Raw genomic sequence first — 21,131 nt, 5'->3', positions numbered from 1 at the left:
GAAAATAAAGACTATTTTGGCTTTGTTTTAAAAATGCAAAGGAGGCCAGACGCAGTGGCTCATGCATGTAATCTTAGCAATTTGGGAGGCCAAGATGGGAGGATGGATTGAGGCCAAGAGTTCAAGACCAGCCTAGGCAACAAAGTGAGAACTTTGTCTCTACAAAATATAAAACAATTAGTTGGACATGGTGGCACTCATATGTAGTCCCAGCTACTTCAGAGGCTAAGGCCGGAGAATCACTTGAGCCCAGGAGTTCAAAGTTGCTGTGAGCTATGATCACGTCACTGCACTCCAGCTTGTTAACAGAATGAGACTCTGTCTCAAAATGCAAAGGAATTAAACAATTGACTTCAAACATAATTGTTTCATTTGTTTGGTAAGCACATGTTGGGCACATCCTCCCCCTGCTCCCTCTTTTTAATGCCAGCCACTGTACTGGGCCTTCATAGAAGAATGAGATCCTGTAGAGAATGAGATTAAGAATGACTAATGATTCTTAATCATTTTTCCTGCCACATACCCCTCTAGCAACCTGGTAAAACCTATACACAAACCTCTTCTTATAAAAATGTTTAGAAACACTTAAAATGAAATTCATAGAGGATTATAAAGTAAACTTATGTTGAGATAGTTGTCAGAATATTAAATTTCTAATATAGTAGCACATACTATATTATTAACTCATGAAATAACAAGACCTAGCAGTGGATCTAATAAGTATTGTAATTTTGAATAATGATGTGCATAAACACATTTTTCTAGGTATCTACATCAGCTGTACAATGATGAAACTATCTATGATTCCTATTGGTGATCAAAGTTATAGGAACCTTATACCTCTGAAGTTTGTTGCCTGCATTTTAATAGAAGGAAACGCTAAATGGTAGTTAGAGATTGGTGGAAATCTCTAACTACAATTCATTCCCCATCCAAGTTGACAGGCACACCAAACCACAGATCTGTGTGGGTCAGCAGATTGCATGTTAAGAATCCCTGATCTAGGAGCTTTAGTTTAGGCTGTGAGACTGACACTTCAGTGGGTAGTTATATAATAATTGAAACCTGAGCAGGGGTTTTGTCTCATTTATCTTTACATTTTTATAATCTCACAGTGTCCAGTAAACATTAAACAGTTAGTTATTAATAGAGCTAGATAAATAATTTGGGGGTATATATGGGAGATTACTTCTGTTAGAAGAGGTAGCATTGAGCTGTATTCTAAATTTAGTATACATTGGAATTTTCAGGTTGGATGAAGTAAGGAAGAGGTACTCAGAATTGAGGCATGCTCATAGGAATAGCATCAGGAAGGGTATGACAGGTTTGATGATTATTGAGAGTCAAGATACACATTTAAGGGAATGGCAAGAGATGAGAGGTTGAGATAATGCTGGGGCTCAGATTATAAGGAGAGTTTTGTGTATACTAGGCAACTGGTAACTTACAATGATATGGTACAATCAGCTTTGTGTTTTAGGAAGTTATCTCAGTTGATGTCATGACAGAAAAATGGGACAGAGTGGGAAGAAATTAGAAGCAGAGGCCAGTGAAGCACTGTTGCAGTTATTACAGGTTAGAGAGGGCAGGGTCATGATGGTAGCAGAGAGATGGGAAACAGCGATCCATATCTGGGAGAAGAGGATTCTATGCTTGACTGAATATGGGATGTGAAGGAGAAGAAGTTGTGGCCTCAATCTACCCAATTGGGAGACTGGTGCATGGGCCATGGTAGTGCCAAAACATAGAGCTATTAAGGTAAGGAATGCAGGAGGGAAGAGTAGGCATGGTGGAGAAGATAGAGAAATTTAGTTGTACTTAGTAAGTTTGAGGTAGGCTGAGATTCAGGTAACAGTTTTCTTAGTAGGCAATTGGGGTGAGAGATTTTGAAATTTTACCCTTTAGATCAATCACTTTTAGATCATTACAGTAATTTTTTTTTTTTTTTTTGGTTTGAATTTGTTTTATTCAGATACAGTTTACATGCAGTAAAATTTATTCTTTTTTAGGTTTGCAGTTTGATGAGTCTGACAATGTATAGTCATATAACCAACACTACAGTTGAGATATAGAATATTACCCCAGAAAGTTCCCTGTACCTTTTAGTGATTCTCTTCTCCCCCACATCGAGCCCCTGGCAAGAACTGATGTGATTTTTATCCCTACAGTTTGGCCTTTTCCAGAATGTCTTATAAATGATATCATACATTGTGTAGCCTTTTGTATCAGGTTCTTTCACTTAGTATAAATGCCTTTGACATTCCTCTATGCATGTTATTCCTCCATGTATCAGTAGTGTATTTTTGTTGCAAAGTAGTATTCCTTTGTATGTGTGAAGGTTTTAAGAAACACACCTACCTGGGCTACAAACCCTAATATATCTGAATTCAGAAGGATAGCCAGGAAATGGTAATTTCTTGGACTCCCGTCTCATGGTATGAGATAATGGTACTAGGGAGTAGAGTGCAAGGAGGTCATAGTGTCAAATGTGCGTAGGTGGAATGGAACATAAGAGGCTGTGCTTAGGACTGTTTTTCATGTTTGGTTTAGAAGGGAAGGTAAATGTGACAGTAACGTAAAACTTTTTAAAGATAAATAGGTGAAAGAAACAAATCAGAGGTATAAGGAATAGGGAAGATTTAACAGGAGACTAGAAGGGATGGATCAACTCTGTAGACGTGGAGAGGGAGAGGAACGCTTTTTTCTTTAAGGTAAAAGGAGAACTAGTATGATTGGGTGCTGTTATAAGTGAATTGAGAGGACTTACAGATTTTTGATCTGAGTGTCTGGATGAGTAGACTTAGTAGGTTGACTTTAGAGAAGTAAACTTCTAATTAATTCAAATACTGGTTTTCCTGTTTTGGAACATGTTCCTTTTTCATCCATTGTTTCTTAGTTTTGTGGCACTTTGCTGGTTTTCAAGCTAGTGGGCATCAAGCTTTTCTCTGGCCAGTTCTTTCCTATCCTGAAACCCTTCAGTGGAAAAACAAATCATGTTCTGCCTTAAGAGTATGATGGTTATTAAGCTATTTTGTATTCCTTGGAGGAAAGGATATACAATCCTGGGGATTCAAAGAAGTGCTTCTTGAAATGAATGTGAAGTTTTAGTATCAGACTAGAGGTACAGACAATCATAATGTAGAAAGCATAGATGTTTCCCTTTCTCCAATTTTCTTTTCCTTGGGGTTACATCTTTTAATAGTTAATTCTGAGTTTACTAGTTAGAATTTATGTCTTTGTCACAGGAAGGGGAACATCACACTCTGGGGACTGTTGTGGGGAGTGGGGAGGGATAGCGTTGGGAGATATACCTAATGCTAGATGACGAGTTAGTGGGTGCAGCGCACTAGCATGGCACATGTATACGTATGTAACTAACCTGCACAATGTGCACATGTACCCTAAAACTTAAAGTATAATAATAAAAAAAAGAATTTATATCTTTGTATTGTTTCTAATTCATCTTTCCTGAAAATGTTTGGTGCACATACAAACAAACTGATATGTTTGTTTGCCTCTACACTGATGGTATACATACAGTTTTGAATTTTGCTTTTCTTCACGTGATAATCACTTTGGAGATCTTGATGTGTGTGATGCACATTCTAAGGGTTGAAGAGAGAAACATTATCCCTATACCAATCTTAGAGGTAGTCTTACTTTATAGACAAGTAATTGAGGACTAGAGAAGTTAAGGCACTTCTCTACAATCACAGAGAATCAGTATGTGGCACAGTTGGAATTTAAATCTAAGTTTGGCTGATTCAGAGCCCATTCTTCTGTTTTTGGCATGTTGGGTGTGAGGAATGATTCTTGGTTTCAGCATATTGTCTGTTACCTTATAGATTAATAGCCCATTGTATTAACGCATTTCTGTTAGTGAATTAGTCCTATCGGGATACATACACAGATGCACCCCTTGGTTTTTCTAAAAGAACATGCTGATACATATTAAAATACAAACCCACTGAAAGACAGTGCTTGTAAAGCATTCTAAAATGTCTCTATTTCATGAACCAGCTACTTAATGTATTACAATATGGTAGTCTTATTGAGGTTTATAAATTAAAAGGCAGTATTTTCTGCTAGACTTGTCTACTTGAACTCAACACAAGAGTTCAGATTAGTGAGCCAGTTTACATACTGACCAGTCTGGGCCCTGTGATCATTAGGGCCTGCTTTTCAACTTGCTTGTCAGCTGGGTAGAATACAAGCTTGCTATGGCTTCCAGGAATGTGTATGTGGACTTGTCTGAAATAGCAGAGTTGGGACATACAGAAGTTGAGAAAGGAACTATTGTGTTTTCTTGTTTACTGCATGAACCTCAATTTGTTATAGATACGGATTGTTGAAGACCTGGGTTCTAAGCCATTGGTTGCCTGAGCACTCTTACTCTGGACCAGACCTTGTTTAGTTAAAGCATCCTTAAAAAATACATACATTGGCATTTCTGGTCTGCACTAGCTGCCAGGACAGCACTTAGTTGAACAGAATACTTAGATTGATTTTCTCGTAGTCATGTACTTATAGTAGAAGAGATAAAGGAATTGAAAAGCAGTCGTAATTGCTTCTGTAAAAATCCCAGACTCTTCAGTGAAACAAAAAAGCAGGATGTTACTTGTGAAATGGTAGGACTGGATAGATGGAGCCTTTTGCAAAAACAGATTTTGTCATGGGCAACAGATTTCTTAAAGGCTCCCGGTCCCTCATGGTTCCATTGCTGGGATTAAGCCTTTTTGCATTGCAGCATGGAGAGCCTTTTATTTGAGTTAAATTCAGACTTCTTGGTATGTCATCTGACAGTCTTGTGGTTTCAGATAAATATGGTTCATTGCTGTTATTAACCTGGGTTGACAGTTGTGCATGACTGGAGTTTTTAGGGATTTTGAAAAGTGGAACTGCTTAAGAGAAATAGGATGCCACTAATGTAGAGCTTAACTTAATGTGATATTCAAGTGTGTTAACATCAAAATAATCCAAATCTAGTTATTAATTTGGTGATATATTTGCTTTAAAATATCTGAAAATTTTAAATGCCAAGATTTTAGATACTTATTTTATTGAAAGTTAAATTATGATAATAACCTTAATTATTAGAATGACTTCTTGAAAATGTTTTAAGCAAGTATTAATTATTGTTTTAAAATATGTAATTCATAAATACTGTACAGTATGTTAGTCCTTGGTTTATGTTTATTTTATGATTCTCTTTCTGCCATTTGTTGCTCTTCTTTCTTGGTATGTTTACATGGGAACCTTCACTGCAGATTTTTGGAAAGCAGTGTGCTTTTCTGTTTGTATCCCATATATATATTTATAAGTAAAATGTAAATTAAAAGCTTGACATTGTATTAGTGTATTGATCATAATCCAGTTATTTTTATAGTTAACGGTATTCTCTAATTTTACTGACATGGACCTGAATTTATTTAGAATTATTTTTGATGCTTTGTGAACACCTTAAATGTGTGTCCCCACTTAGTCATTTGAGTTAAATAATTTGAATTAGTAATGGCCTTATACTAATTTAGGTACATTGTTTTTATTTTATTTTATTTTATTATTAGTTTTTGAGACGAAGTCTTGCTCTCTCGCCCACGCTGGAGTGCAGTGGCACAATTTTGGCTCACTGCAACCTCAGCCTCCCGGGTTCAAGCAATTCTCCTGCCTCAGGCTCCCGAGTAGCTGGGATTACATTACCCCTGGCTAATTTTTGTATCTGTAGTAGAGATGGGGCTTCACCATGGTGGCCAGGCTGGTCTTGAACTCCTGACCTCAGGTGGTCCAACCGCATCAGCCTCCCAAAGTGCTGGGATTACAGGCATGAGCCACCATGCTGGCCTGTTTTTTTATTTTAAATAAGTCACATTATACAAGTTCCCCCCTTTTTAAAAAAAAAAAAAAACTGTGTATGACCCAGTTAAACAACTTGGATACTGGGTCTCTATTGTTTTAGCTCATTTAACATTCTTCCAGTGTTTTGCTGTAGTTTTTAAGTTCACAGGTATATAGAGTTAATGTCAGAAAGTTAAACCACATAGGCCAGGTACATTTCAATTAGGTATACGTATTGCTGAAAAATACTAAGTAAATATGATAGCATATTATGATACATGATAGCTCTTATGGTGTAGAAATCTACTATTTGCCAATGTGCCATTTTTACCAAGAATTCATGTTAATGAATTTTTTGTGCATATAATTTTATGCATGTTAAATTGTACAATAAATATAAATGAATTTTGGAACTTTAATGCTGGTAATAGTTTATATTTTTGTTATGGTATTTTTTTCACATCTAATTTGATTAAATGATGATAGTAATACTATGGCCAAGCAGCTGACTATCCCTGTCATTGAAATGTAAATTACAGTCACTAGAATTACATTAATACCCTGAGTATAGTTGAATTTATTGTGACAAAATAAGTCTAAAGATTAGTGTTCTTACAACATTTAGTATATTAAGATGTAGTTAGAGAAAAATAATTGGATATAAACAGCCTATATAAATATTAATCAAGATTTTGTGATACAAATAAGTCCTAAATTGATAACTAAAGTCTTTGGAACTGAGATTAGCAAATCAGTCATGGAATTATTTTCCTGTCAGATTAGAGAATTATAATTCCTTAGATAGAAAAATGATTACTATATATACAGGCTTCCAGCATTAAAATGGTACTCCTTGAAATAGGCATTTACTCACTTGTTTAGCAAAGTGGTTGAAGTTTTATTACATTCATTATCTCTTACAGCTTCTTCCTATGGTATTTAGGTTAATTTGTGATTAACCAGTTGTCAATCTGGAAGGAATTTCCACAGCTTACAAGATCAAATTGAATTATATAGAAACTGGTACAAAATGATGTCTTGTCACTGATGGTCCTACCTGCTTAAGAACATTTCTTTTCTTTTTTTTTTTTTTTTTTTTTTTTTTTTTGAGACAGAATCTCACTCTGTCACCAGGCTAGAGTGCAGTGGTGCAATCTTGGCTTACTGCAGCCTCCGCCTCCCAGGTTCAAGCGATTCTCCCGCCTCAGCCTCCCGAGTAGCTGGGACTACAGGTGCACACCATGCCCAGCTAATTTTTGTATTTTTAGTAGAGACAGGGTTTCACCATGTTGGCCAGGATGGTCTTGATCTCTTGACCTCGTGATCTGCCCACCTCGGCCTCCCAAAGTGCTGGGATTACAGGCGTGAGCCACCACGCCTGGCCAAGAAAATTTCTTTTAAGCCTGATAGTAGGAGATACTTTCAAGTGGAGTGCAGTAGAGTTGCAGTGATATAAGCCGTAGTGGTTAATGTTAGGTCTCAGCCTGACTGGATTATGGAATACCTGGAAATTGGAAGAGCATTGTTTCTGAGTGTGTCTGTGAAGAGTGTTTCCCGAGGAGATTTGGTGTGGGAGTCTGTGGACGGAGTGCAGATCAGCCCTCAACATAGATAGGCACCATCCAGTTGGCTGGGGGCCTAGACAGAACAAAAAAAAGGCAGAGGAAATGGGATTTCCTCTGTCTTTCTTCTGGAGCTGGAACATTGTCCTGCCTTTGGACATTAGAACTCCAGGCTGTCTGGCCTTTGAACTCAAAGACCTATACCAGTGGCTCACCAGGTTCTTAGGCCTTTGGCCTCAGACTGAGAATTACACCATTGGTTTCCTTGGTTCTGAGGTATTTGGATTTGGACTGAGCCATGCTGCTTGCATCTCGGGTCTCCACCTTGCAGATGGCCTGTCATGGGACTTCTCAGCCTCTGTAATCTCATGAGCCAATTTTCCTAATAAATCCCCTCTCATATATCTGTATATATATTCTGTTGTTTCCACCTCTCTAGAGAACCCTGACCAGTACAGAAACCTTCTAGACTATGACATTTGGGCTTGACTGCTTCCTGGCTAAATAACTTAGAAGGAGATTTAACCAGCATTCAACTGAATTGTAGATTGGGACCGGGGAAATTTAAACATTTGGATTGGAGAAGTCTCTGCTTGTTAAAGATAAGTAGGGGCAGGGCTTTAAAAACTACAGGCCAGCTGCAGTGGCTGATGCCTGTAATCTCAGCACTTTGGGAAGCCAAGGCAGGAGGATTGATTGAGACCAGGAGTTTGAGACCAGCCTGGGCCACATAGCAAGACCCTTTCTGTAGTCCTCACTACTTGGAGGCTGAGGCAGAAGGATCACTTGTGCCCAGGAGTTCAAGGTTACACTATTCCAGCCTGAGTGACAGAGTGAGACCGTGTCTCAAAAGAAAAAAAAAAAAGAAAAAGCAGTAACACTATAGAATAGAGGAAAGGGAATATTAATCTGCAGACTTAGAAAAAGATTAGGTTTCTGAAATTTACTAGTTGGAATCAAAATTTGTAATCAGATAATTTGGCATCCTCAATAGTATGCAAGAAAGAATGTTTTCTGAAACAGCAGAGCATGAGAAGAAGATACTTGGCAAAGAAGATGTAAGATTACAATGAAAAGGGAGATGGAGAACATAAAGATTGCACAGAAATGAAAATTTATGTGACAAAATTAGGTTTTATAGGGCTGTTAATAAAAAGTAGAGTTGATAAGTGGGGTATTTAGTAAGTGTCATGAAGGTCAAGGATGAAATTCTGCTGAAATACAGAGGAAAAAGAAAAGGTGAAGAAAGTATCACCTGTTATGTGCTTTAGAGTTATGTACTGTAAAGATAAACCATTGGAACAGAAGCCAATATCAGATACTTAAAGTGAAGACATCAGAATAGAAGAAAGGATATTTACACGCAGATTAAAAGGGTTTAATATTCTTTAAAATGTGAATTAAAATAGTTTTGATTTCTTTTTAAGGAAAGCATGCTTACATTTGCCTTTTATTGCTGGATTTCTCAACTCATCCTAGTAGGTACTAATGGAGAAAGAAACATGTTCTAACATATCCTCAGGGTTTGCCTAAAGAGGTGATTTTCCATCAAACACTTACATTCACTGAAAGAAAACAGTTTATGATGCATCTGAAAGAAAGCATGCTTACATTTGCCTTTTATAGCTGAATCTATAAACCCATGTAATATGAATCAATAGAAAAGGAAACATGTCTTAGAAAGGTGTTTCTCCCTCAAACACTTCCATTAACTGAAAGAAAAGTTTTCATGATGCTTTTTTTTTTCCCCCGCAGACAAGGTCTCCCTCTGTCATCCAGGCTGGAGTGCAGTAACATTGTCACAGCTCACTGCAATCTGGACCTCCTGGGCTCAAGTGATCATCTTACCTCAGCCTCCCAAGTAGCTGGGACTACAGGCGTGCACCAGCATACTTGGCTAATTTTTCATTTTTTGTAGAGGCAGGGGCTCACTATGTTGCCCAGGCTGGTCTTGAACTCCTGGCCTTAAGCAGTCCTCCTGTCTCAACCTCCCAAATTGCTGGAATTACAGGTGTGAGCCACCACACCCAGCCGTATGATGCATCTTAAAGAAAGCATGCTTCTACTTACCTTTAAGGAAGTTTTAATTTCACCAAGTATAGTGTCATAGAGCAGTATAACAGCCATTTTCATGCCTGAAAATGGCAAAATTTTGATATCTGAGTGAGGAGTTATTGTATCTAGTCCTCGATTCTACAAAAATATTGAGTACTATCTATAAACAGTAAATAATTGATGCATGTGTAGTTCTGGTTCTCAAATGCGTATAGATGTTCTTTTCAGTAGTGCTATACTAAATTCATAGTATCTTTCAGTCGTATTTTGTTAGTTACTGTGTACTTAATTTTTAAAAAACATTAAATAGGTATGACCAGGTATGGAGGCCTGACACCCCTAATCCAGCTCTTTGGGAGGCTGAGATGGACAGACTGTTTGAGCCCATGAGTTTGAGATGAGCCTGGGCAACATGGCGAAACCTCATCTGTACTAAAGAAACAAAAATTAGCCAGGTGTGGTGGTGGACACCTGTGGTCCCATCTACTGGGAGGCTGAGGTGAGAGTCACTTGAGCCCAGGAGGTCGAGGTTGCAGTGAGCCATGAACATGTCACTGTACTCCAGCCTGGGTGACAAAGTGGGACCCTGTCTCAAAAAAAAAAAAAAAAAAGGTGTTTTAGGCCATTCTTGTATTGCTATAAAGAAATACCTGAGATTTGATGATTTATAAAGAAAAGAGGTTTAATTGGCTCATGGTTCTGTAGGCTGTGCAAGAAGCATAATGCTGGCATCTGCTTGGCTTGTGGAGAGGCCTCAGGAAACTTGCAGTCATGGCAGAAGATGAATGAGGAGCAGGCACTTCACATGGCTAGAGCAGGAGCAAAAAAAAGGCAAGGGGGCGTACCACACGCTTTTAAACAACCAGATCTCAAGAGAGCTCTCTCACGCAAGGACAGCATCAAAGGGATGGTGCTAAACCATTCATGAGAAACTCATCCCCATCATCCAGTCACCTCCCTCCAGGCTCCATCTCCAATACTGGAGATTACTTTCAACATGAGATTTTGGCAGGGACACAGATCCAAACTATATCAAAAGGTATCTTACTAGAAATGGTTAGGAATTACTGATAACAGGACCATATGCTCGCAGTTGTTTCAATTGAGGCTTGCATATTAATGGAAAAGTCAACTGAAGTGAGGAATTTAAAAATTATATATTGTAACATTTTGTTTTTAGCTTAAAACATGTAAATATTGATATGGTTTGGGTCTGTGTCCCTGCCCAAATCTCATGTTGAATTGTAATCCTCAGTGTTGGAGGTAGGGCTTGGTGGGAGGTGATTAGATCATGGGGGTGGAGTTCTCATGAGACCTAAAACTGTGTAGCACCTCCCCCATTTCTTTCTTCCTCCTATTCCCGCCATGAGGTGCCTCCTTCTTCGCCTTTCTCCACAAATATAAGTTTTCCTGAGGCTTCCCCAGAAGCTGAGCAGATGCCAGTATCATGCTTCCTGTACAGCCTACAGAACTGTAAGGCATTTAAAACTCTTTTCTTTAATTACACAGTCTCAGGTATTCCTTTAACAGCAATGTGAGAAGGGACCAATAATATGCATTCATTTGCCAATCTTTTGCTGGCCATTGTAGTCGTGTGTGTGTGTGTGTGTGTGTGTGTGTGTGTGTGTGTATTTGCATTTGCAAAGTATGTGAGATATTTTAATACAGGCATACAGTGTGTAATAATCACATCAAGGTAAATGGGGTATCTATCTCCTCAAGCATTTACCCTTTGTGTTACATACAATCCAATTATACTTTTAGTTATTTTAAAATGTACAATAAATTCTTGTTGACTGTAGTCACCCTGTTGTGCTATCAAACACTAGATCTTATTAATTCTACTGAACTATATTTTGGTGCCCATTAACCATCCTCACTCCCCCTGCCACTACCCTTCTCAGCCTGTGGTAACCATCATTCTACTCTATCTCCACTAGTTCAGTTGTTTTAATTTTTAGCTCCCACAATTAAGTGAGAAGATGGAAAGTTTGTCTTTCTGTGCCTGGCTTATTTCACCATAATGACCTCCATGTTGTTGCAAATGACAGGATATCATTCTTTTTTATGACTGAATAATACTCCATTGTGTATAAGTACCACATTTTCTTTATCCATCTGTTGATGGACGTTTAGGTTGGTTCCCACTGATTTCCTTTCTTTTGGGTATATGCTTAGCAGTGGGATTGCTGTATCATACAGTAATTCTGTTTTTAGTTTTTTTGAGGAACCTCCAAACTGTTCTCCGTAGTGGTCATACTAACATTCCTACCAACACTATATGATGGTTGCCTTTTCTCTACATCCTCACCAGCATTTATTATTGCTTGTATTTTGGATAAAAGCCATTTTAACTGGGGTGAGATGATATTGCATGGTAGTTTTGATTTGCGTTTCTCTGATGATCAGTGGTATTGAGCACCTTTTCATATACCTGTTTGCCATCTGTATGTCTTCTTTTGAGAAATGTCTATTCAGGTCTTTTGCCTATGTTTAATTGGATTATTTGATTTTTTTCCTATATAGTTGTTCGAGCTCCTTATACATTCTGGTTGTTAATCCCTCATCAGATGGGTGGTTTGCAAATATTTTCTCCCATTCTATGGGTTGTCTCTTCACTTTGTTGATTGTTTCCCTTACTGTGCAGAAACTTTTTATAACTTGTTGTGATTCCATTTGTCTGTTTTCACTTTAATTACCTGTGTTTCTCAGAATATCTTTGCCTAGTTCAATATCCTGGAGAGTTCTCCCAATGTTTTCTTTTAGCAGTTTCATAGTTTGAGGTCCTAGATTTAAGTCTTTAATCCATTTTGATTTAATTTTCGTGTATGGTGAGAGATAGGGGTCTGGTTTTATTCTTCTGCATATGGATATCCAATTTTCTCAGGGCCTTATATTAAGAGACTGTCCTTTCTCAAATGTATGTTCTTGGCAGCTTTGTTGGAAAATGAATTCACTGTAGGATTTGTTTCTGGGTTCTGTATTCTCTTCCATTGGTCTGTGTGTTTGTTTTTATACCAGTATCATGCTGATTTGGTTACTATAGCACTGTAGTATAATTTAAAGTCAGGTAATGTGATTCCTCTAGTTGTGTTCTTTTTGCTTAGGTTAGCTTTGGCTATTCTGGATCTTTTGTGGTTCCGTATGAATTTAAGGATTTTTTTTTTTCTATTCCTGTCAAGAATGTCATTGGTATTTTGAAAGGGATTGCATTGAATCTGCAGATTACTTTGGGTAGTGTGGACATTTTAACAATATTGATTCTTCCAATCTGTGAACATGGAGTATGTTTCCATTTTTTAATGTCCTCATTAATTTCTTTCATCACTGTTTCATAATTTTTATTGTAGAGACCTTTCACTTCTTTGGTGAAGTTCCTAGATGTTTTATTTGTAGTTACTGTAATTGGGATTACTTTAAAAAACCTTTTTTCAGATTGGTCACTGGTGGCATATAGAAATGCTACTGATTTTTGTATGTTGACTTTTTATCCTGCAACTGTACTGAATTTACCAGTTCTGATAGTTTTTTCATAGAGTCTTTAGGTTTTTCCAAACGTAAGATGATGTCTCTGCAGACAAGCTTAATTTGACTTCTTCCTTTCCAATTTGTATGCCCTCTTTTTCTTTCTCCTGTTGAATTGCTCCAGCTAGGACTTCCTGGTCAGTATGTTTTACAGAGGGAATGATGAATGCTATTTCTTTGTAGGACCAAAAAATTAAATGTTGTGTAAAGTAATAGAGCATTATATGACCATATACTTTGCTGTCAGAAGACATATTTAAAAGTTGGTCAGTTAGCAGATTTCTTTAAAGTAAAATCTATTCAGAGGTTTTTAAAAACTCAGAAAACTTTACCAATGTTCAGAAAATATTTCTTCAATTGGCTGTGGTGCTTTTGGTTTCTGATGGTGGCCAGTTATTGGCATGTTGCTGTATTGGGAATGTTTTTGGCTTGGCTCTTGCCGCGTAATTTAGCATACTTCTCTCCCTCCCTCCTTCCCTCCCTCCCTCCCTCCCTCTTTCCTTCCTTCCCTCCTTCCCTTCTTCCCTCTTTCCCTCCTGTCATCAAACTCAGAATGTTTTTCACTGCTTGGTGGTGGTGGTGAATCCCTAATTCTACATGCATAGCTTTTGAAACTTGGCTCCTCTTTTTCTATTCCATGTAGGAGCATAGGATGTTAATGGTTTCTCAGAATGATCTGTATCACCTTCCGTGTTTTCAGTGAGAAATAACAATGATGGATAAGGCTCAGGAAAGAACAACTAACATAGTTCAAGACACATAATAGGCACTGTACAGATAATTACCCAATTCATGAACTAAAAAAATCTTCATGTTTGATAAGTATACTCTATAGTAAGACCCTCTGATGCTAACTAGAGGTGAAAATATATGGATGGTCAAATGGAAATAAGGGTAGAGAAAGAGAAGAGATTAACTGGTATTTATTTACAGGTTCATGAAATTCAATTTTAAAATGATTGATAAGGAAAAGAGTTGATCACTTAGAAACACAAGTGAATTATTTCGGTATTTTCCTTATAGGTGACAATTTTTAATGTATTGAGATACAAACTAGTGTTTAGCCCAGTATTTCTCAATACTTTTTTTTCACTTATATTCCCCCAAGGAGCCTTTTTAAAAATTAACACCCTGATTTCTTTTTTTTTAATTTCAACTTTTATTTTAGATACAGGGTGTACATATGTAGGTTTGTTACATGGGCATATTATATGATGCTTAGGTCTGGGGTATGGATTCCATCACCCAGGTAGTGAGCATAGTACTCAATAGGTAGTTTTCCACCCATGCTTTTTCCCTCTTCCCTCTAGTAGTCCACAGTGTCTATTTTTCCCATGTTTATGTCAGTGTATGCTCAATGTTTAGCTCCCACTTATAAATGAAAACATGTGGTATTTGGTTTTCTGTTGCTGTGTTAATTCACTTAGGATTATGGCTTCCAGCCGCCTCCATGTTGCTGCAAAGGACATGATTTCATTCTTTTTTATGGCTGCATATTACTCCATGGTGTATCTGTACCACATTTTCTTTATTCAGTCCACCATTGATGGGCCCCTAGGTTTATTCCATGTCTTTGTTATCATAAATAGTATGGTGATGAACATATGAATACATGTATCCTTTTGTACAACAATTTATTTTCCTTTGGATATATACCCAGTAATGAATTGCTGGATCAAATGGTAGCTGTTTTAAATTCTTTGAGAAATCTCCAAACTGCTTTCCACAGTGGCTAAACTACCTTCCCACTAACAATGTATAAGTGTTCCTTTTTCTCCACGGCCTCACCAGCATCTGTTGTTTTTTGACTTTTTAATAAAAGCCAGCCTGATTGGTGTGAGATGGTATCTCATTGTGGTTTTGATTTGTCTCTATCTGATGATTAGTGATGATGAGCATTTTTTCATGTTTGTTGGCTGCTTGGATGTCATCTTTTGAGAAGTGTCAGTGCATGTCTTTGGCCATTTTTTTAATGGGGTTGTTTTTTGCTTGTAGATTTGTGTAAGTTTCTTACAGATTCTGGATATTAGACCTTTGTCAGATGCACAGTTTGTGAATATGTTCTCCCATTCTGTTGGTTGTCTGTTTTCTCTGTTTATAATTTCCTTTGCTGTGCAGAAGCTGTTTAGTTTAATTAGGTCCCACTTGTCAATTTTTGTTTTTGTTGCAGTTGCTTTTCAGGACTTAGCCAAAAATTCTTTGCCAAGGCCAATGTCGAGAAGGGTATTTTCTAGGTTTTCTTCTAGGATTTTTAAAGTTTGAGATCTTACATTTAAATCTTTACTCCATCTTGAGTTAATTTTTTTATACGGTTAAAAAGTAAGGATCCAGATAAGGCTAGCCAGTTATCCCAGCACCTTTTATTTAATAGGGATTAACACCCTTTTTTGTTAAGCACCATTCCCCCTCCATGAAATTTTAACACCACAGATATGCTGTGTATTTGCCTATGTACTGTGGCCCTTTTGAGGGCTACATCCCACTTAATATCTAAGTATTTTTCTCTTCCCCTCCCCACCAAGAACCAGTTTGCCCTCTTGGAAGTGATCTTGCCCGCATTGAGAATGCATGGCTTAGTCCTATTTTAGTTGTCAGTAATGTGTGTTACAGGAGTTCACATGGTCTTCTGAGGTGCAGCGTCAGTGTGTAAAGGAAAGTGTCTATTCCAGCATGTTTATTTTCTATTAGCATTCTTTGAAGGTGTCAGATAAAAAAACATGCAGAGCAGATAAGCTGACACACTATAAATAACATCTGGGTAAAGTCTTAAAATAGCTTGTGGTTCATCACTGAATAGTTTTCTTACCAACGTTTAAATATGCTAAATACAATTGCTTAATAGTAATTACTAAGAAAAGTTTTTCTGTAGCATATAAATTTGTGTGAATGGTGGTGGTATACTTAACACTGTTAGTGATTTGGCTTACATTTGTCTTCAGTTAAATTTTGATAAAAAAGAAGGAACATGATGAAGTGGAAGGCAGTATCAGAAGACTTAGGTTCTGGTAAAATGAGAGATCATTCTAAACACTTGAGTACTGAGCATAAGCAAATACCAGTGAAGACAGAGTAGGGCTACAGGTGAAAAGAAGAGGCACCAGCCAGCTGTATCCAGAACAGCAACTTTAGGTAGGTCAGTTTTGCTTCTCCTTCACTTCTTTCATTTGATGAAATGAATAAATTTAGAATGACTATTACCATTTAAACTTATTTGCCTATTAAAAGAGCCACTCTGTTGTGATTGTTTGTTGTTTAATATCATATTCTAAGCAATTAATTTGTCAGGCAACTTTTAGGTAATAAGTTTATTTCGTTAATTTCATGTGTCTATAGATTTCCATGTCACAACTTCTTTCTATTATAAGGTAAAGGGAATCAGAACTTTATTAGTAACACTTCACCATTTCAGGGACATACTCTGCAGAAGTACACATGTCTTCCCAGATAATTTTGACCAGCATTTTGTTTTCATTTTTTGTTTATGACTCTAGGGATGTCTGATCTAGACCAAAACAGCTTCACCAAGATTTGTGTTTAAACATAAAGCTATGTTATTTTCATCTCTGCTTTAGACATTCCTATCTTATTCAGATATGACCCAAAATATAAGCCCCTCTATGAAGTGAGCTTTCATGTTTTACTCCATCCTTCCCTCCCCCGTCTAATAATGCCTATGCTGCCTTTTCTTTGCATCATTTAGAACTCCTTCCTTGTGTCCCCACTTTCTTCCCAATTTGTCCACCTTTTTTTTTTTTTTTGGCCTTCAGAGGCCGTAATTCTTCCTTTTGCCCTTCCAGTAGGGAATGTTTATTTTGCCACACACTACCCAACTTTGGGCCTAGTAACTTGGCCCTGTCACTATTGCCTGGAAACTATTCTTGTCCTCTCATGAAAACCTGTTCTTTATGAGGCCTATGATATTGTACCACACTTTCCTCTATTTTGTTATTGGCATCCATGGCTGACATGTACCAGATGGTTGCCCACTGTTCATCAAGAACTCTGACACTTGGCTGATAGTCCTTCTTTCCAGATCACTTTGTGCAGTCATCTTAAGCAGCCCATACATCTAACATTTTGGCCTTCCAGTTCCTTCTCTTATTCTCTACCTTTATGTGTTCTTCTTGGCTGTACCTTGAGCCTTGTTAGCTAACTGACTCTCCTCTCTTTCTGAGATCTTCCCATTCTGACCACAACTTCATATCCTTTGATCTCTCATATCCTTATTCAGACTTGTGCTTTAACTTCGTTGAGACCACTATATGTGTTTGTTTTATACTTCCTTTTCTCCTATCAGCTCCATTCTGGCCACATTTCCTCAGCTAGTCAGTCCTGACTTTTCTTTCTCACTGTCACTCTTAACAGCCTTGCTCCTTTTCATTGTGGCTGCTCAGAAAATCTACTGTTTAATCCATTGCCTACTTTTGGCCCTTTCACACCTGGAATCTTCTGTGGTAGTACAGAAAATTAGTCCTATCACAGATTTAAGGCTTTCCACTCAGCTGGGCCCCCAAATATGGTTTGATAGTCCTTTTGCTTTTCTTGGGCTAGCTCCTTTCCCCATTTTCTTTGATGATTATGCTGGACTTTTATATCTCAAATCCTGTACTCCAATTCAAGCCACCCACCTCACATATGCTTGTAAATATGCTTGACCGCTGCTTTTTATAAAACATGAATGATCAGCTATAAATGCTCGATTTCATCTCTCCAGCTTGCATACTTACCTGCAGTAATTTTCACCTGTGGGTCATTTTCCCTACCTCATTAAGTGTATTCTGCTGTTCATTAGGGGCACCCTTGCCCGGGATACTGTGTCTTAACTTCTCTGTGATCTTAATCCAAAAATTCTCTCTGATTACCTTTAAATTCTTTTTCTGATTCCTTCCCCTCAACTTGGAAATATTAGAAAGGAAATAGATGCCTTTTTTCCTTTATATTATACACCTGTGTATTTCATACACATACACGTTTTTCCTTTTTTTAAAAAAAGGGCTCTTGTAGCCTCACTTCTTCTACCTGAGTGACCATGCATCTTGGTGATTCAAGATAATTTCAGTTTATTTCTGTCTGTTTAGGATCCCTTTTTAGTTTTAAAACTTCAGTTTAGATGGTTGGTTATATGGTCACACTATTCCTCACTGTTCCTTTTTTACATGGAATATTATATACTGTCTTTCTCAGCTCTTTCTCTTCAATCAATTGCTATATGGTTATTCCTTCCCCACTGCCTCCACTGAAACTGTTCCAGCAAGAGTACCAAAGACACCAAATTGCTAAATTCCATGAACACTTTTACTCTTCATAAATTTTGGTCTTTCTGCAACATTTGCATTGTGCGTGATTCCTTTCTTTTCATCTTCATTAACCTTTTTTTTTTTTTGACACAGTCTCTCTGTCGCCCAGGCTGGAATACAGTGGTACAATCTCAATCTCGGCTCACTGCAACCTTTGCCTCCCAGGTTCAAGCGATTCTCCTTCTTCAGCCTCCCAAGTAGCTAGGACTACAGACATGTGCCACTATGCCCAACTAATTTTTATATTTTTAGTAGAGACGAGGGTTCACTATGTTGGCCAGGGTGGTCTCGAACTCCTGACCTCAGGTGATCCACCAGCCTCGGCCTCCCAAAGTGCTGGGATTACAGACATGAGCCACCGTGCCTGGCCCATCTTCCTTAACTTTTGTAACAGTGCTTTACCATGAGTTTTCTTTTCCTCTCTAGTAGTCTGTCTTTACTGATCTTCCCTGGCTTCTCTGCTTTTCTTCTCTCTGTTCTTAAAATATTGATGTATCCTAAAATTCTAGTTTATTAGTTCTTCACATTCTTTTCTATTTTCAATTAATATGTTCTGCCTGAAGATTTCACTACCAATTGTGTGTCAGTAACTCCTGTGTCTGGAACTCTGTTCCCAGCCATTCTCCTCAGACCATTTTTCTTTTTCTTTTTCTTCTTCTTCGTTTTTTTTTTTTTTAAGATTGAGTCTTGCTCTGTCACCTGGTCTGGAGTGCAGTGGCGTGATCTTGGCTCACTGTGACCTCTGCCTCCCAGGTTCAAGTGGTTCTCCTGTCCCAGCCTCCCAAGCAGCCAGAATTACAGGCGCCCACCATCATGCCCGGCTAATTTTTGTATTTTTAGTAGAGATGGGGTTTTGCCATGTTGGCCAGGCTGATCTCAAACTCCTCATCTCAGGAGATCCACCCACCTTGGCCTCCCAAAGTGCTGGGATTACAGGCGTGAGCCACTGTGCCCGGCCACCAGACCATTTTTCATCAATCGGTTGCACATCTTTTCTTCAGCTGTCTCGCAGCCCCCTTGAACTCAATCTGGCAACACCCTTATCCCAAACTTACTCCCCCTCCTGAGATATTCTTTATCTTGGTTAATGGTATCTCCTTTCATGAAATCTGAAAGCTGAGAGTCAGCCATTCTCATCCTTTATTCCCCATATAGTCTTCAGGTCCTATCTCTGCCTTCTAAATAAGATCTAGCTCTATCCCTTTCTATTTTCAGTGCTATTCCTTAGTTCAGGGTATATAACATTCTTTTCTCCAGGCTTCTCTCTATCTTGTCAGTTCTTCAAGTTTCTGATTTTCTAAAATGCACAAGTGATCTTGTCAGCTATTGTTTAAAACCTTTGTTTACTCATTGCCTGGATGAAGAAGTCTGTATGTGTGTGTTGAACTGGTTATGTCTGTTGATCTGATGCTCCAGCCTGCCTTCATAGCTGTGCCTGTTGCTTCATTGCACACTTCTGAGCTAGGGTCACTAAGAATTACAGCAGATGCTGTTTTCTTCTTCCAGAGAAGAGAATGCCCTTCTCCCCTGCCCATCACTTGAAGCTGAAACTTGAAGTATCACTTCCTACTCAATAGGCCAAGGCCATACACAATGATTTAGATAATGGACTGAAAGACTGCCTGGAATCTAAACCCAGCTTTGACACATTTACTAGCTAGCTGTGTTATTTTGGGCAGGTTATTTATTATTTATTGTATGTCGTTTATGATTTTTCTTCAGTAAACTCTTACCTGACCTGCTTATGCACACCTCTTATCTAGATTGTAAGTTTGCCTCAGTCATAGCATGTATCACGTTGATAAAATCATTTGTCTGTCTTTTCTGTTAGACTGAGCATTTCATGGTATGGCTATCTTTTTCTTTTCATGCTGAATGAACGCTTTTAAGTCAGTGAATGAATACATAAAGAATGTGACAGAGAAATATTCCCAGTACCTGGCATTATGCTGTGAGTGTGGTAAATGTTTAATATGTCTGTTTTAGGCCGGACATGGTGGCTCATGCCTGTAATCCCACCACTTTGGGAGACCAAGGCAGGCACATCACGAGGTCAAGAGATCAAGAACATCCTGGCCAACATGGTGAAACCCTGTGTCTACTAAAAATACAAAAATTAGTTGGACATGGTGGCATGTGCCTGTAGTCCCAGCTACTCAGGAGGCTGAGGCAGGAGAATTGCTTGAACCCGGGAGGTGGAGGTTTCAGTGAGCTGAGATTGTGCTACCGCACTCCAGCCTGGTGACAGAGCGAGACTCTGTCTCAAAAAAAAAAAAAAATCTGTTTTAATGAGATGTCCATAATGTAATGTAACTTGATGAATATAGTATTACTTTTTTTAGTAGTCTTTCTCTTTTAAAAATTGAGCTATAATTTGCATATAATAAAATGTATAATTTATTTTGAAAAATATATGCATCTACTTAACCACAATGGCAATAAAGATAAAGGACATTTTGATCACTCTGGAAAGTTCCTTAGTATACATTTCTCCTCCATTTCCCTCACTCCCTATCCCTGATCACTGCTTTGATTTCTATCATTGTCCATTAGTTTTACCTCTTCTACACATAAATAGAATTATCAGTAGGTGCCCCATTGTGTCTGGATTCTTTCATGCAACAGTATTTTTTGAGTTCATCTTTGTTACCGTGGGATCAGTAATTCATTCCTTGGTATTTCTGAGTAGTATTTCAATGTAGGAATATATCGTAGTTTGTTTATCCATTCTCTGTGGCATTTGGGTTTAAATAAAACTGCAGTGAACATTTCTGTGAGAGTATTTGTGAACATTTATTTTCATTTTTATTGGATAAATTTCCTGTGAGAGGAATTGCTGAATCATAGCTGTCAAGCA

At 38.0% G+C, this 21,131-nt stretch overlaps 1 protein-coding gene across 4 annotated transcripts in view, besides 1 other annotated feature; it reads left to right on the top strand.

Moving 5' to 3' along the window:
• FNIP1 (folliculin interacting protein 1) overlaps positions 1-21,131 on the top strand; it is a 155,304-nt gene that overhangs the window by 22,647 nt on the left and 111,526 nt on the right. The window lies entirely within an intron of this gene.
• Positions 16,114-16,163: an enhancer, noted in NCBI's record as "active region_23059". NCBI's record gives its function as "activates an Ori minimal core promoter by ATAC-STARR-seq in GM12878 lymphoblastoid cells {active_cell/tissue: GM12878}" and the evidence as "EXISTENCE:reporter gene assay evidence [ECO:0000049][PMID:35858748]".

This window comes from Homo sapiens, chromosome 5, assembly GCF_000001405.40.
Source record: "Homo sapiens chromosome 5, GRCh38.p14 Primary Assembly".
NCBI lineage: Eukaryota > Metazoa > Chordata > Mammalia > Primates > Hominidae > Homo > Homo sapiens.
This window is presented reverse-complemented; position numbering and strand designations above follow the sequence as displayed.